This window comes from Homo sapiens, chromosome 2 (assembly GCF_000001405.40).
Source record: "Homo sapiens chromosome 2, GRCh38.p14 Primary Assembly".
Lineage (NCBI taxonomy): Eukaryota > Metazoa > Chordata > Mammalia > Primates > Hominidae > Homo > Homo sapiens.
In genome coordinates, this window is record NC_000002.12 from 135,231,236 (window position 1) to 135,247,583 (window position 16,348).

The following is a 16,348-nucleotide window of genomic DNA, read 5'->3' on the forward strand; positions in this document are numbered from 1 at the left end:
TTTCGGAAGAAACTGCAGCTTTAGAGAGGTAAGATAACTTGGTTAGAGCAGTTATATAACAAAAATATACTTAATACATTACCCTAAATATATGTCACGGAAAAAAAGGCAACTGTGTATTCAAATATTTCAGGTCAATCAAGGACCTAAAAAAATGCTTTCACACCTAAAATATAAACACAATGCTCACACATAATGTTATTCATATGAAAATGTTTTCTTGACCAGGAAGCTGTTAATTAGGCTGGGTGCGGTGGCTCATGCCGATAATCCTAGCACTTTGGGAGGCTGATATGGCAGGACTGCCTGAGCCCAGGAGTTCAAGACTAGCTTGGGCAACACGGTGAAACCCCGTCACTACAAAAAAACACAAAAAAACAAAAAACAAACCCCAAAACAAAAATTAGCCAGGAGTGGTGGTGTGCACCTGTAGTCCCAGCTACTCGGGGAGCTGAGGTGGGAAGACTGCTGGAGCCTCGGAGGTTGAGGCTACAGTGAGCTGTGATTGTGCCACTGCACTTCAGCTGAGGCAAAGGAGTGAGACCCTGTCAAAAAAAAAACACACACAAAAAAACGGGGGATGGAGCCAAGATGGCCGAATAGGAACAGCTCCAGTCTACAGCTTCCAGCATGACTGAAGATGGGTGATTTCTGCATTTCCAACTGAGGTACCAGGTTCATCTCACTGGGGAGTGTCAGACAGTGGGTGCAGGACAGTGGGTGCAGCGCACTGAGCATTAGCTGAAGCAGGGCGAGGCATCGACTCACCCGGGAAGCGCAAGGGGTCAGGGAATTCCCTTTCCTAGTCAAAGAAAGAGGTGACAGATGGCACCTGGAAAATCGGGTCACTCCCACCCTAATACTGCGCTTTTCCAACGGTCTTAGCAAATGCCACACCAGGAGATTATATCCCGCGCCTGGCTCAGAGGGTCCTACACCCATGGAGCCTTGCTCATTGCTAGCACAGCAGTCTGAAATCAAACTGCAAGGCTGCAGTGAGGCTGGGGGAGGGGCGCCTGCCATTGCTGAGGCTTGAGTAGGTAAACAAAGTGCCTGGAAGCTCGAACTGGGTGGAGCCCACCACAGCTCAAGGAGGCCTGCCTGCCTCTGTAGACTCCATCCACCTCTGGGGGCAGGGCACAGCCAAACAAAAGGCAGCAGAAACCTCTGCAGACTTAAATGTCCCTGTCTGACAGCTTTGAAGAGAGTAGTGGTTCTCCCAGCATGCAGCTGGAGATCTGAGAATGGACAGACTGCCTCCTTAAGTGGGTCCCTGAACCCCGAGTAGCCTAACTGGGAGGCAGCCCCCAGTAGGGGCAGACTGACACCTCACATGGCCAGGTACTCCTCTGAGACAAAACCTCCAGAGGAATGATCAGGCAGCAACATTTGCTGTTCACCAATATCCGCTGTTCTACAGCCTCTGCTTCTGATACCCAGGCAAACAGGGTCTGGAGTGGACCTCCAGCAAACTCCAACAGACCTGCAGCTGAGGGTCCTGACTGTTAGAAGGAAAACTAACAAACAGAAAGGACATCCACACCAAAACCCCATCTATACATCACCATCATCAAAGACCAAAGGTAGATAAAATCACAAAGATGGGGAAAAAACAGAGCAGAAAAACTGGAAACTCTAAAAATCAGGGTGCCTCTCCTCCTCCAAAGGAACGAGCTCCTCACCAGCAACGGAACAAAGCTGGATGGAGAATGACTTTGACAAGGTGAGAGAAGAAGGCTTCCGACAATCAAACTATTCCGAGCTAAAGGAGGAAGTTTCAGCCAATGGCAAAGAAGTTAAAAACCTTGAAAAAAAATTAGACGAATGGCTAACTAGAATACCCGATGCAGAGAAGTCCTTAAAGGACCTGATGGAGCTGAAAACCATGGCACGAGAGCTATGTGATGAATGCACAAGCCTCAGTAGCCGATTTGATCAACTGGAAGAAAGACTATCAGTGATGGAAGATCAAATGAATGAAATGAAGCGAGCAGAGAAATTTAGAGAAAAAAGAATAAAAAGAAATGAACAAAGCCTCCAAGAAATATGGGACCATGTGAAAAGATCAAATCTACATCTGATTGGTGTACCTGAAACTGATGGGGAGAATGGAACCAAGTTGGAAAACACTCTGCAGGATATTATCCGGGAGAACTTCCCCAATCTGGCAAGGCAGGCCAACATTCAAATTCAGGAAATACAGAGAACGCCACAAAGATACTCCTCGAGAAGAGCAACTCCAAGACATACAATCGTCAGATTCACCAAAGTTGAAATGAAGGAAAAAATGTTAAGGGCAGCCAGAGAGAAAGCTCGGGTTACCCACAAAGGGAAGCCCATCAGACTAACAGCGGATCTCTTGGCAGAAACTCTACAAGCCAGAAGACAGTGGGGGCCAATATTCAACATTCTCAAAGAAAAGAATTTTCAACCTAGAATTTCATATCCAGCCAAACTAAGCTTCATAAGTGAAGGAGAAATAAAATCCTTTACAGACAAGCAAATGCTGAGAGATTTTGTCACCACCAGACCTGCCCTAAAAGAGCTCCTGAAGGAAGCACTAAACATGGAAAGGAACAACCAGTACAAGCCACTGCAAAAACATGCCAAATTGTAAAGACCATCGAGGCTAGGAAGAAACTGCATCAACTAACGAGCAAAATAACCAGCTAACATCATAATGACAGGATCAAATTCACACATAACAGTAATAACCTTAAATGTAAATGGGCTAAATGCTCCAATTAAAAGACACAGACTGGCAAATTGGATAAAGAGTCAAGACCCATCAGTGTGCTGTATTCAGGAAACCCATCTCATGTGCAGAGACACGCATAGGCTCAAAATAAAGGGATGGAGGAAGATCTACCAAGCAAATGGAAAACAAAAAAAGGCAGGCGTTGCAATCCTAGTCTCGGATAAAACAGACTTTAAACCAACAAAGATCAAAAGAGACAAAGAAGGCCATTACATAATGGTAAAGGGATCAATTCAACAAGAAGAGCTAACTATCCTAAATATATACGCACCCAATACAGGAACACTCAGATTCATAAAGCAAGTCCTTAGAGACCTACAAAGAGACTTAGTCTCCCACACAATAATAATCAGAGACTTTAACACCCCACTGTCAACACTAGACAGATCTACGAGACAGAAAGTTAACAAGGATATCCAGGAACTGAACCCAGCTCTGCACCAAGCAGACCTAACAGACATCTATAGAACTCTCCACCCCAAATCAACAGAATATACATTGTTTTCAGCACCACACCTATTCCAAAATTGACCACATAGTTGGAAGTAAAGCACTCCTCAGCAAATGTAAAAGAACAGAAATTATAACAAACTGTCTCTCAGACCACAGTGCAATCAAACTAGAACTCAGGATTAAGAAACTCACTCAAAACCGCATAACTACATGGAAACTGAACAACCTGCTCCTAATGACTACTGGGTACATAATGAAATGAACGCAGAAATAAAGATGTTCTTTGGAATCAATGAGAACGAAGACACAACATACCAGAATCTCTGGGATACATTCAAAGCAGTGTGTAGAGGGAAATTTATACCACTAAATGCCCACAAGAGAAAGCAGGAAAGATCTAAAATTGACACCCTAACATCACAATTAAAAGAACTAGAGAAGCAAGAGCAAACACATTCAAAAGCCAGCAGAAGGCAAGAAATAACTAAGATCAGAGTAGAACTGAAGGAAATAGAGACACAAAAAACCCTTCAAAAATTCAATGAATCCAGGAGCTGGTTTTTTGAAAAGATCAACAAAATTGATAGACCGCTAGCAGGACTAATAAAGAAGAAAAGAGAAGAATCAAATAGACGCAATAAAAAATGATAAAGGGGATATCACCACCGATCCCACAGAAATACAAACTACCATCAGAGAATACTATAAACACCTCTATGCAAATAAACTAGAAAATCTAGAAGAAATGGATAAATTCCTCAACACATACACCCTCCCAAGACTGAACCAGGAAGAAGTTGAATCTCTGAATAGACCAATAACAGGCTCTGAAATTGAGGCAATAATTAATAGCTTACCAACCAAAAAAAGTCCAGGACCAGATGGATTCACAGCCAAATTCTACGAGAGGTACAAGGAAGAGCTGGTACCATTCCTTCTGAAACTATTCCAATCAATAGAAAAAGAGGGAATCCTCCCTAACTCACTTTATGAGGCCAGCATCATCCTGATACCAAAGCCTGGCAGAGACACAACAAAAAAAGAGAATTTTAGACCAATATCCCTGATGAACATTGATGCAAAAATCCTCAATAAAATACTGGCAAACCGAATCCAGCAGCACATCAAAAAGCTTATCCACCATGATCAAGTGGGCTTCATCCCTGGGAAGCAAGGCTGGTTCAACATACGAAAATCAATAAACGTAATCCAGCATATAAACAGAACCAAAGACAAAAACCACATGATTATCTCAATAGATGCAGAAAAGGCCTTTGACAAAATTCAACAACCCTTCATGCTAAACACTCTCAATAAATTAGGTATTGATGGGATTTATCTCAAAATAATAAGAGCTATCTATGACAAACCCACAACCAATATCATACTGAATGGACAAAAACTGGAAGCATTCCCTTTGAAAACTGGCACAAGACAGGGATGCCCTGTCTCACCACTCCTATTCAACATAGTGTTGGAAGTTCTGGCCAGGGCAATGAGGCAGGAGAAGGAAAAAAAGGGCATTCAATTAGGAAAAGAGGAAGTCAAATTGTCCCTGTTTGCAGATGACATGATTATATATCTAGAAAACCCCATCGTCTCAGCCCAAAATCTCCTTAAGCCGATAGGCAACTTCAGCAAAGTCTCAGGATACAAAATCAATGTACAAAAATCACAAGCATTCTTATACACCATCAACAGACAAACAGAGAGCCAAATCATGAGTGAACTCCCATTCACAATTGCTTCAAAGAGAATAAAATACCTAGGAATCCAACTTAGAAAGGAAGTGAAGGACCTCTTCAAGGAGAACTACAAACCACTGCTCAATGAAATAAAAGAGGATACAAACAAATGGAAGAACATTCCATGCTCATGGGTAGGAAGAATCAATGTCATGAAAATGGCGATACTGCCCAAGGTAATTTATAGATTCAATGCCATCCCCATCAAGCTACCAATGACTTTCTTCACAGAATTGGAAAAAACTACTTTAAAGTTCATATGGAACCAAAAAAGAACCCACATTGCCAAGTCAATCCTAAGCCAAAAGAACAAAGCTGGAGGCATCACACTACCTGACTTCAAGCTATACTACAAAGCTACAGTAACCAAAACAGCATGGTACTGGTACCAAAACAGAGATATAGACCAATGGGACAGAACAGAGCCCTCAGAAATAATGCCGCATATCTACAACTATCTGATCTTTGACAAACCTGAGAAAAACAAGCAATGGGGAAAGGATTCCCTATTTAATAAATGGTGCTGGGAAAACTGGCTAGCCATATGTAGAAAGCTGGAAGTGGATCCCTTCCTTACACCTTATACAAAAATTAATTCAAGATGGATTAAAGACTTACCATGTTAGACCTAAAACCATAAAAGCCCTAGAAGAAAACCTAGGCAATACCATTCAGGACACAGGCATGGGCAAGGACTTCATGTCTAAAACACCAAAAGTAATGGCAACAAAAGCCAAAATTGATAAATGGGATCTAATTAAACTAAAGAGCTTCTGCACAGCAAAAGAAACTACCATCAGAGTGAACAGGCAACCTACAGAATGGGAGAAAATTTTTGCAATCTACTCATCTGACAAAGGGCTAATATCCAGAATCTACAATTAACTCAAACAAATTTACAAGAAAAAAACAAACAACCCCATCGACAAGTGGGCGAAGGATATGAACAGACACTTCTCAAAAGAAGACATTTATGCAGCCAAAAGACACATGAAAAAATGCTCATCATCACTGGCCATCAGAGAAATGCAAATCAAAACCACAATGAGATACCATCTCACACCAGTTAGAATGGCAATCATTAAAAAGTCAGGAAACAACAGGTGCTGGAGAGGATGTGGAGAAATAGGAACACTTTTACACTGTTGGTGGGACTGTAAACTAGTTCAACCATTGTGGAAGTCAGTGTGGTGATTCCTCAGGGATGTAGAACTAGAAATACTATTTGACCCAGCCATCCCATTACTGGGTATATACCCAAAGGATTATCAAACATGCTGCTATAAAGACACATGCACACGTATGTTTATTGCGGCATTATTCACAATAGCAAAGACTTGGAACCAACCCAAATGTCCAACAATGATAGACTGGATTAAGAAAATGTGGCACATATACACCATGGAATACTATGCAGCCATAAAAAATGATGAGTTCATGTCCTTTGTAGGGACATGGATGAAGCTGGAAACCATCATTCTCAGCAAACTATCGCAAGGACAAAAAACTAAACACCACATGTCCTCACTCATAGGTGGGAATTGAACAATGAGAACACATGGACACAGGAAGGGGAACATCACACACTGGGGCCTGTTGTGGGGTGGGGGAAGGGGGGAGGGATAGCATTAGGAGATATACCTAATGTTAAATGACGAGTTAATGGGTGCAGCACACCAACATGGCACATGTATACATATGTAACAAATCTGCACGTTGTGCACATGTACCCTAAAAGTATAACTAAAAACAAAAAACAAAAAACAAAAAAACCTGTTAATTAGGACAGCTTCTTTAGTAGACACATTTTAATAATAACCTTGTTTTCAAGAAATGTTATTTCTTTTGTTTAAGAACAGCTACATCATTGCATGTTTTTCATCTTTTCAATGTGTGAATCTCAGTTTCCTAATTAGAGTAAGTAGGATACCTATCTCCATGGTTAATTAGCTACAGTTAGGGCAAATTAAAGGATTTAGTTTCAGAGGTGGAGTTGGGAACTATGTTAGAAACACAGTGTGGCTGAATATATTTTCAATGATGGTCACACCAATTCTTATGTCATTTCACATGCTCTTCATACAATGTGACACTGACATGCCTCCATTGAGAGGTGGGATCTATGTTCTTCTTCCTTGAACGTGAGTAGACCTTTGTAACTGTCTCACCCAACAGAATGCAGTTAAAGTAATGCTGTGTGACTTTTTTTTTTTTTTTTTGAGGCAGAGTTTCACTCTTGTCTCCCAGGCTGGAGTACAATGGCGCAATCTTGGCTCACTGCAACCTCCGCCTCCCGAAAGTAGCTGGGATTACAGGTGTTCACTATCACGCCCAGCTAATTTTTGTATTTTTAGTAGAGATGGGGTTTCACCTGGTTGCCCAGGTGGGTCTTGAACTCCTGACCTGAGGTGATCCACCCGCCCCGGCCCCCACAAAGCGATGGGATTACAGGCGTGAGCCACCGTGCCTGGCCAATGCTGTGTGACTTCTGAGGCTAGGTCATTGAAGGTAATATGGCTTCAACTTGGCTGGCCCTCTGTCTCTCCCTTTCTTTCTCTCTTGGGACACTTGCCTTGGGAACCTAGCCACCATTGGTATGAGGAAACCCAGGCCACATGGAGAAATCCTGCGGTGTTCCAGTTGACAGCCCCAGAAAAGCTCCCAGGTGACAGACAGCACCAATTGCCAGACATGTGAGTGAACAAGCCTTCAGAGAAGTTTTCAGCCCCTGGCATGGGTGTCTTCCATCAAGGGCCACAGTCATCATGGAGGAGACATGTCATTCCTGTTGTACCCTGGTTGAATACTGCACCCATAGAAACTATAAGAAATAATACAAGGCTATTGTTGTCTTAAGACACTAAGTTTTGGAGCAATTTGTTATGCAGTAATAGATAACTAAGACAGACCCTGTAGATAATGATAGCAAAATACCATATATTGTAAATGATATTTTACATAATGAATATTATCTGTACTTCTTAGTGGTACTATATAAGAAAGAATTATAAAATTCATAAAAACAGAAAGATTAGTGGTTACCAGAGGCTGGAGGGGAAGGGGAAATGGAGAGTGATTGCTACATAATTATAGACTCTCTGGGGTAATGGAAAATTTTTGGAAATACTGGTGGTGGGTGCACAACACACTGTGAATGTAATGACACTAACTGTACACTTAAAAATGGTTAAAATGACAAATTTTATTTACCACAGTATAAAAAATCAAAAAAAAAAGGAAGCGAAAAAATAAGGAAGGAAAATTTAGGCTGTTCCCATATTTGTAAAATTAAAACATGTTATCATAGGGAAAAAGCTCTCTCCCCTGCTCCACTACTCCCAATAATGTAGAACTCTTATTTTGCATGGCTGCTAATTTATACGTTCTCAAATACTACAAAAAGTTATCTAATTAGTTGTGAAATATACAGAATTCAGATAAATATAGAGAATGAAATCATTAACCACAAGACACGATTTTTAAAACAATGCGTGAGGGAAATTAAAGAAAGAGCGGGCCAGGCATGGTGGCTCATGCTTGTAATCCCAGCACTTTGGGAAGCTGAGGCGGGTGGATCACGAGGTCAGGAGTTTGAGACCAGCCTGGCCAATATGATGAAACCGTGTCTCTACTAATACAAAAATTAGCTGGGCGTGGTGGCATGCACCTGTAGTCCCAGCTACTTGGGAGACTGAGGCAGAAGAACCGCTCAAACCTGGGAGGTGGAGGTTGCATGATCCAAGACCACACCACTGCACTCCAGCCTGGGCAATGGAGCAAGACTCCATGTCAAAAAAAAAAAAAGGGTGGAGGAAAGCAGAGAGATTAATAGACTGATGAAGTTTGGTGTTTTTTAAAAAAAGGTAACAGGCTGAGTACAGTGGCTCATGCCTGTAGTCCAGTACATTGGGAAGCCAAGACAGGAGGATTGTTTGATGCAAGGAGTTCTAGACCAGCCTAGGCAACATAGCAAGATCCTGTCTCTACAAAAAACAGAAAAATTAGCCAGGCATGGTGGCGTGCGCCTGTAGTCCTAGCTACTTTAGGAGGCTGAGGAAGGAGGATTGCTTGAGTCCAGGAGTCCCACACCAGTCTGGGCAACATGGCAAGACCCTGTCTCTTAAAAACAAAATGGTAACAAAGAAACAAATAGAATTAAACATTTAAAGAAAATATTCTATTCTGCACAATAAAACAGCAAAGAGAGCTTGCAGAATTTTGAAAATACTAGCAAATGTTCAGCAAACATGCACAAATTCTATCAGCTATTTCTAGTTAAACCATACTGTTTTTCTGATAGAGGTAAACTTTCTGTCCTTGCCTGTCTAGAAATGAGTTGATTTTGTCCTCATCTTTATTCAGTAGTTTTGCTGGGCATACGATTCTCCTTGAATCCTTCCTTTTTGAGACAGGGTCTTCCTCTGTCACCCAGGTTGGAGTGTAGTGGTGCAATCACAGCTCATTGGAGTCTTGACCTCCTGGATTCAAGTGATCCTCCCACCTCAGCTTCCCAAGTAGCTGGGACTGCAGGAGCATGCCACCATGCCTGGCTAATTTTTGTATTTTTTTGCAGAGATTGAGTTTCAACATGTTGCCCAGGCTGGTCTTGAACTGTTGAGTTCAAGTAATTCACCTGTCTTGGCCCCCCAAAGTGGTGGAATTACAGGCGTGAGCCACCATGCCTGACCTCTCAAATCCTTAAAGGCATTGTTCTGTTTCTTCCAATATCTGTTGTTGCTGAAAATGTTGTTCCTTGGTAGGCTGCACATTTTTGCTTTCTTTTAGGGCTTTTCAGGAACTTTTATTTTTGGTGTTTTAAAATTTCACAGTGATTTACCTCTATATAGTCTATATTTATATGCCTTTAAAAATTCTGCTCAGGACTTAAGATACCTTATTAATTTTGAATACTATTATCTTTAGCTCTCGAAAATTTCTATTATTCTTTGATAGTTCCTTCCTCTTAATTTTCTCTTTTTCTGGCATTCCTATTAGTAGAATGTTAGACTTACACATTTATGTCTTACCTTTTACTGTAATATTTTCCTTCTTTTTGTCTTTTTACCCTGTAAACTCTTAGTTTTCCTCTACTTATCTTTCAACCCTTCTATAGAATCATTTTAGTTTGGCAGTCATATTTTTAACATCTAAAAGTTCCTTGTTATTCTCTGTTCTTTTTTTTTTTTTTTTACCGTATTCTCATTTTATTTTTATGGGCAATATAATCTCAAATCTGAAACTACTACTTAAGAGTTTTTTTAAAATTATCTTCAGGATCAATTTGTGTATTAGTTTACTTTTGTTTATCTTTTTCATGCTATAGATTTTCTCTTCAAATGTCTAATGACACTTGATCGTCCCTTCCTTGAGGGATGAATGGGGAATGGGAGGGTTTCCTGGGAACTTAGGACACATGGGGCTAGCAGCAAGAAGATCTGATGGGACATGCTGACTGAACATGAGGGGTGAGGAAGATGCAGGGGCCTAGAGTAATCTTCAGACTCCTAGATTTTTGACTTGTAACATGGTAGGGATGATATTTTCAGTTACTGCAATAGAAAATACAGAAAGATAAATAGGTACATTAGAAGACCAAAAAAGAAGAGCTAAGGAAACAAGTTCACTTTTAGAAATGTATGAGAACTAGTGGTACTGGAGTAGAGGATTCCAGGAAGCAGGTTTGGAGTTCATAAGAGAGACAACTGAGGCCAGGCATGGTGGCTCACGCCTGTAATCCCAGAACTTTGGGAAGGTGAGGTGGGCGAATCACTTGAGGTCAGGAGTTCCAGACCAGCCTAGCCAACGTGGTCAAACCCCAGCTCTACAAAAAATACAAAAAGTAGCTGGGCATGGTGCGCACGCCTGTAATTCCAGCTTCTTGGGAGGCTGAGGCACGAGAATCGCTTGAACTCAGGAAGCAGAGGTTGTAGCGAGCCAACTTTTGCCTCTGAACTCCAGCCTGGGTGACAGAGTGAGACTCTGTCTCCAAAAAAAAAAAGAGAGAGACAATTGGATTTAGGTATCAGAGAACAATCATGGACATGCAGGTGGATAAAATCATAAAAGTGGATGTCATGCCACATAGAGGTAGTTCAATAAAGTAAGAAAAGGTAAAAAGGACAGAAAACAAGGGAACAAAATTAATGGCTGAATGAGTAAAAGATATCCAGAAGAAAACTCAAAGCAAAAAATCAGGAGGGTAATGGCTTTAGTGTGTGTTTCGGTTTTCCATTCATTATAGTAGACACTCAGTAGGTACTTTCTTTCTTTTTTTTTTTTTAAAGAGATGGGGTCTCAGTGTTACCCAGGGGGGGCTCAAACTCCTAGGGCACAAGCAATCCTCCTGCTCAGCCTACTAAGTAGCTGGGACCTACAGGCACACCACTGCACCTGGCTTTCGGTAGGTACTTTCAATCAGATCAACTTGTGTCCTTCCGTCCTGGGAAGTTTTCTTAAATTATTTTTTTCTTCCTCTATCTTATCTTTCTAGATCTCCTATTAGGAAAAAAGCTTCTGAACAGATTATTTAATTTTCTTCACTTTTCCTATATCTTTGTTCTACTTCTGGGTAATTTCTTCATTATCCTCCTTTCTTTCCTTATTTAATTATTAATTTCTGGTATTACAGTTTTAAGCTCTAAGAGCTTGTTGTGTTCTCTGATTTTTCCTTTTTCTTATTCATGTTTCATGAGCACACTGTTTTTACTTATCTGTGTCTACTGATGGTAGTTTTTTGTTCTGTTTTTACATTTTCTTCAGCTCATTACATTGTCTCTGTTTCTTTTGTATCTCATTCTTGGCTTACATGTTTGTTTTGGTTTCTGTTTTTCACATGAGAGGTGGCCTTCTGTTATCCACTGATATTTAATAAGATGCTAAAATGCTATCAGGAGTTCCACATGGGAGACTTCACTGTAGGGTCATCACAGACTCTTTTATGATCTCCTTCAGTCTCCACAAGTTTTTGCTTGGTCTAGTCAATTTCTCCACAGATGACACAATGTTAGCTACCACGGAGCTGATCAGAGAAAGGTGCTAAAGAGGCTGGGCGCGGTGGCTCACGCCTGTAATCCCAGCACTTTGGGAGGCCAAGGTGAGTGGATCATGAGGTCAGGATTTCAAGATCAGTCTGGCCAAGATGGTGAAACCCCGTCTCTACTAAAAATACAAAAATTAGCCGTGCGTAGCGTTGGCGCCTGTAATCCCAGCTACTCAGGAGGCTGAGGCAGGGAACCCGGCAGGCAGAGGTTGCAGTGAGCCAAGATCGTGCCACTGCACTCCAGCCTGGGCAAGAGAGTGAGACTCCTTCTAAAAAAAATAATAATTTAAAAAAATTACCATTAATTAAGGAATCTTTCTTAATCTGCTTGTTTTCAATTTAATGCCTTAACCATACCCTCAACCACCTCTCTTCCTGTACTTAAAAAAACTTTTTTTTTCTTTCTGAAGCAGGTTCTTTCTTTGTCACCAAGGCTGGAGTGCAATGGTGTGATCACAGCTCACTGCAGCCTTAGCCTTCTGGGCTCAAGAGATGCTCTTGCCTCAGCCTCCTGAGTAGCTGGGACTACAGGTGCATGCTGCCATGTCTGGTTAATTTTTGTTGTTACTGTTTAGACAAGGGTCTCCCTGTGTTGCCTGGGCTGGTCTTGAACTCCTGGGCTCAAGCGATCCTTCTGCCTTAGCCTCCCAAAGTGCTGGAATTAAAAGCATGAGCCACCATGCCCGGCCTTAAATTTTTTTTTTTTTAAGAAGAGCAAATAAAACAAACTGATGTCAGCATAGCTATATATATAAAATATATAATAGTCCACTATCATCTACACTGAATAATGTTTAAATAATACTTGAATCTTTTGTCCTATTCTATATTTTAAAGAATCTGTTTATTTAATGACTTATGTCTCCATTTCCCCACCAAAAAAAAAAAAAAAAAATTTGCAACATTTGTTAAAACAAAAGGAATCTTCCCAACAACAAAACAGAACAACAAAGAAGGCTGAACGTGGTGGCTCATGCCTGTAATCCCAGTACTTTGGGAGTCCAAGGCAGGCAGATCACTTGATCTGGCCAAACAGATCAAACCACCCTGGACAACATATCAAAACCCCATCTCTACTAAAAACACAAAAATTAGCTAGGCATTGGGGCTCACGCCTGTAATCTCAGCACTTTGGGAGGCCAAGGCGGGCAGATCACTTGAGGTCAGGAGTTCGAAACCAGCCTGGCCAACACGGTGAAACCCTGTCTCTACTGAAAATACAAAAAAATTAGTCGTGCGTGGTGGTGGGTGCCTGTAATCCCAGCTACTCGGGAGGCTGACGCACGAGAATCACTTGAACCCAGGAAGTGGAGGTTGCAGTGAGCTGAGTTCGCACCATTGCACTCCAGCCTGGGTGACAGAGCATACTCCATCTCAAAAATAAATAAATAAATAAATAAATAAATAAACAAACAAAACAACTAAAGAAACCTCCCCACAAAAAAAGAATTCTCAGGGCCTTCAAATACCAGCTTTACAGTTGATCTTCTTAATTAAGCTATTTAATTAAGCTATTTTAAAAATAACTTATTTTACTATTTAAGCAATGACTTATTTTGGGAAAATAGCATTTGAGAATTCTCATTATATGCTGAAGGCAGGTTGAGAGGTAAGGTTAGCAGTGACTGACAGTAATGAGAAACTGATGCTTACTTCTGCCATTATGGTAGTTTATGAACAGTGGCATGGGAGTAATCAGCATAGGTGATGTTCTAAAACAGAACATTCCACTTGGGTAATAAAATTGAGGCTTTAGTACATAAAATCCAGAAAACAAGGGAAAGGATAGAAAGGAAATCATTTTAATAATATTGTGAACCAAAAGGTACTCTTAAGAATACAATATTAGCAAAAGGAGAGAGCAAGATTAGCAATGACTATGGCTAATGTTATGATGGCTAAACTGAACAATGATGAATGCTGTCACAGGAAGTAAACCTTACAAGTTAGGGTCCTGGCCATAGGGCTGCCATAAGCTGGAAGGCCTAAAAGGAGTAAGGATTTCCTATGAGGTAATCAGTGAGAAACCTGATCCATGTCATCAACTGTGCTTTCTGATTGTAGCCTCTGGGCAATCAGCAGGAAGTTGGTTGAGGTCTCTTTGACATTTAGCAGCTATGACTAATAGAAAAACAAGTGAGAAAATCTCTTTGATATATTCTAAAGATAATTATACCTGCTGGATGGAAACAAAGAGGGTCTCCTGGTTTACTGAAAATGATTTTTTGTTTTGTTTTTTGAGGCAGAATCTCACTCTGTTGCCCAGGTTGGAGTGAAGTGGCACAATCTTGGCTCAATGCAACCTCCGCCTCCCTGGTTCAAGTGATTCTTGTGTCTCAGCCTCCCGAGTAGCTGGGACTACAAGCATGTGCCACCATGCCTGGCTAATTTTTTGTATTTTTAATAGAGACAGGGGCTGGGTGCTGTGGCTCACGCCTGTAATCCCAGCACTTCGGGAGGCTGAGGCAGGCAGATCACCTGAGGTTGGGAGTTCGAGAGCAGCCTGACCAACACGGAGAAACCCCATCTCTACTAAAAATACAAAAATAGCCGGGCATGGTGGCACATGCCTGTAATCCCAGCTACTTGGGAGGCTGAGGCAGGAGAATCGCTTGAACCTGGGAGGCAGAGGTTATGGTGAGCCGAGATCGCGTCATTGCACTCCAGCCTGGGCAACGAGATTGAAACTCCGTCTCAAAAAAAAAAAAAAAAAAAAAAGAGACAGGGTTTCACCATGATAAACATCTGAAGGTGGACTTGTGGTTTGAATAGCTCCATTTCTTTTCTTTTCTTTTCTTTTCTTTCTTTCTTTTTTTTTTTTTTTTTGAGACAGAGTCTTGCTCTGTTGCTCAGGCTGGAGTGCAATGGTGTGATCTCGGCTCACCGCAACTTCCGCCTCCCAGGTTCAAGCCATTCTCCTGCCTCAGCCTCCCAAAGTGCTGGGATTACAGGTGTGAGCCACAGTGCCTGGCCATCCTTGATGTTTTGAGACAGAGACATATCACCATCAACTCATGGAGACTCAAGCAGGTATTGGGAACATGTCTGGTTTATAAAAGAAGAAGGTGACCTTAAACAAGATACTAATTTGTAGATACAGATATCAAATAAAAATATGCTTCTAATGACTTTTCTGTTGTCTTTTTTTGTTAATTTTTCATAAAGTGTTCTCTTTTAGTAGAGCTGGCAACATTGCTACAGCTGTTAGTAGATTCACTGATTAAAGCATTTGGGAAAAACATAGTAAGAAATAATTGCAAACAGAATGCTTCCCAAAAAAATGCATATTTTCCAAAAATGTTAGATTCATCAACAACAATGACTCCCTGCTCCTTAAAGAAGGAAGAGTGATCTAAGCCTATAGTAATTTTTATCACAAAGCTTATGAGAAAAATATAATTATAACAACACGCCCATGTCATAAGGAAAGTGGAAGATAGAAGAACATATTCCTCTCTTCAGTTATACAGCTGAAACTCAGTTATTATGTTCCTGTCTTTTGTTCAATATTGTTTTTGAAAAACAAAAGAAAAATACTGCTTTTGGTGAGAAGTGCTGGGAATACAAACTGCAAAATGCTTAAGATGGCAAAATGCATGTTTTTATCTGAAAAGTTCAGAGTCCTAATCTTTTTGCCCTGTTTTTCACCATAGCAAACTACTGGTCTTTACAGACAAATCCCCTGGCTATGATGATAGGATTAAAAGCCAGTTATTAGAACTGAAGGAGAGGGGAAAAAAATCTAGTAAAACTCATAAAAAATAAAGCACTTCAAAGCTTGGTGCCATTCCAGGGAAGCACAGGCTACCAACAAAAGCACTGATGTCAAGTTTAATAGACTTTGATCAAAGGGCAGCTCTGGTAGGAACCATTACTGCCTCGTGTCATTTGGCTCCTGTTCCTAAAAATATTAATAAACCTATTTTACAAATGGGTGATTGGGACATCATGCTGGTCTCTTGAACCACAGAGGATTGATGATTGGAACTGGAACTAAAGAGCCCTCGTGAGCATTTGTAAACAAGCCAACAAGAGTCTGTTTTCAAAGGAGACAGAGTGACACAAGTAGGGTTTTAATCATCTAACTGAAAAAATAGATTTAAATTATTCTAAGAAAGAAATGACTGGTTTTTTTTTCAGATTTTCCAAAATGTTCATTCCCATACAGCTGAATAAAATACTGACAATATCCACTCTTAGGCACAACTACTAGTGTTTCTCTGCAGATAGAGAGAAAACAAAACAAAACACACAAAATAAAACACATTTTGATTTTTTTTAAAACCCAAAGTAGTAAAAAAGAAAACGTTATTACTTATTATTATTTTTTTTTAGAGACATGGTCTTAGCCAG

At 40.7% G+C, this 16,348-nt stretch overlaps 1 protein-coding gene across 3 annotated transcripts in view; it reads right to left on the reverse strand.

The window, feature by feature from the left end:
- The window catches only part of ZRANB3 (zinc finger RANBP2-type containing 3), a 334,250-nt gene that overhangs the window by 34,267 nt on the left and 283,635 nt on the right, over positions 1 to 16,348 (reverse strand). The window lies entirely within an intron of this gene.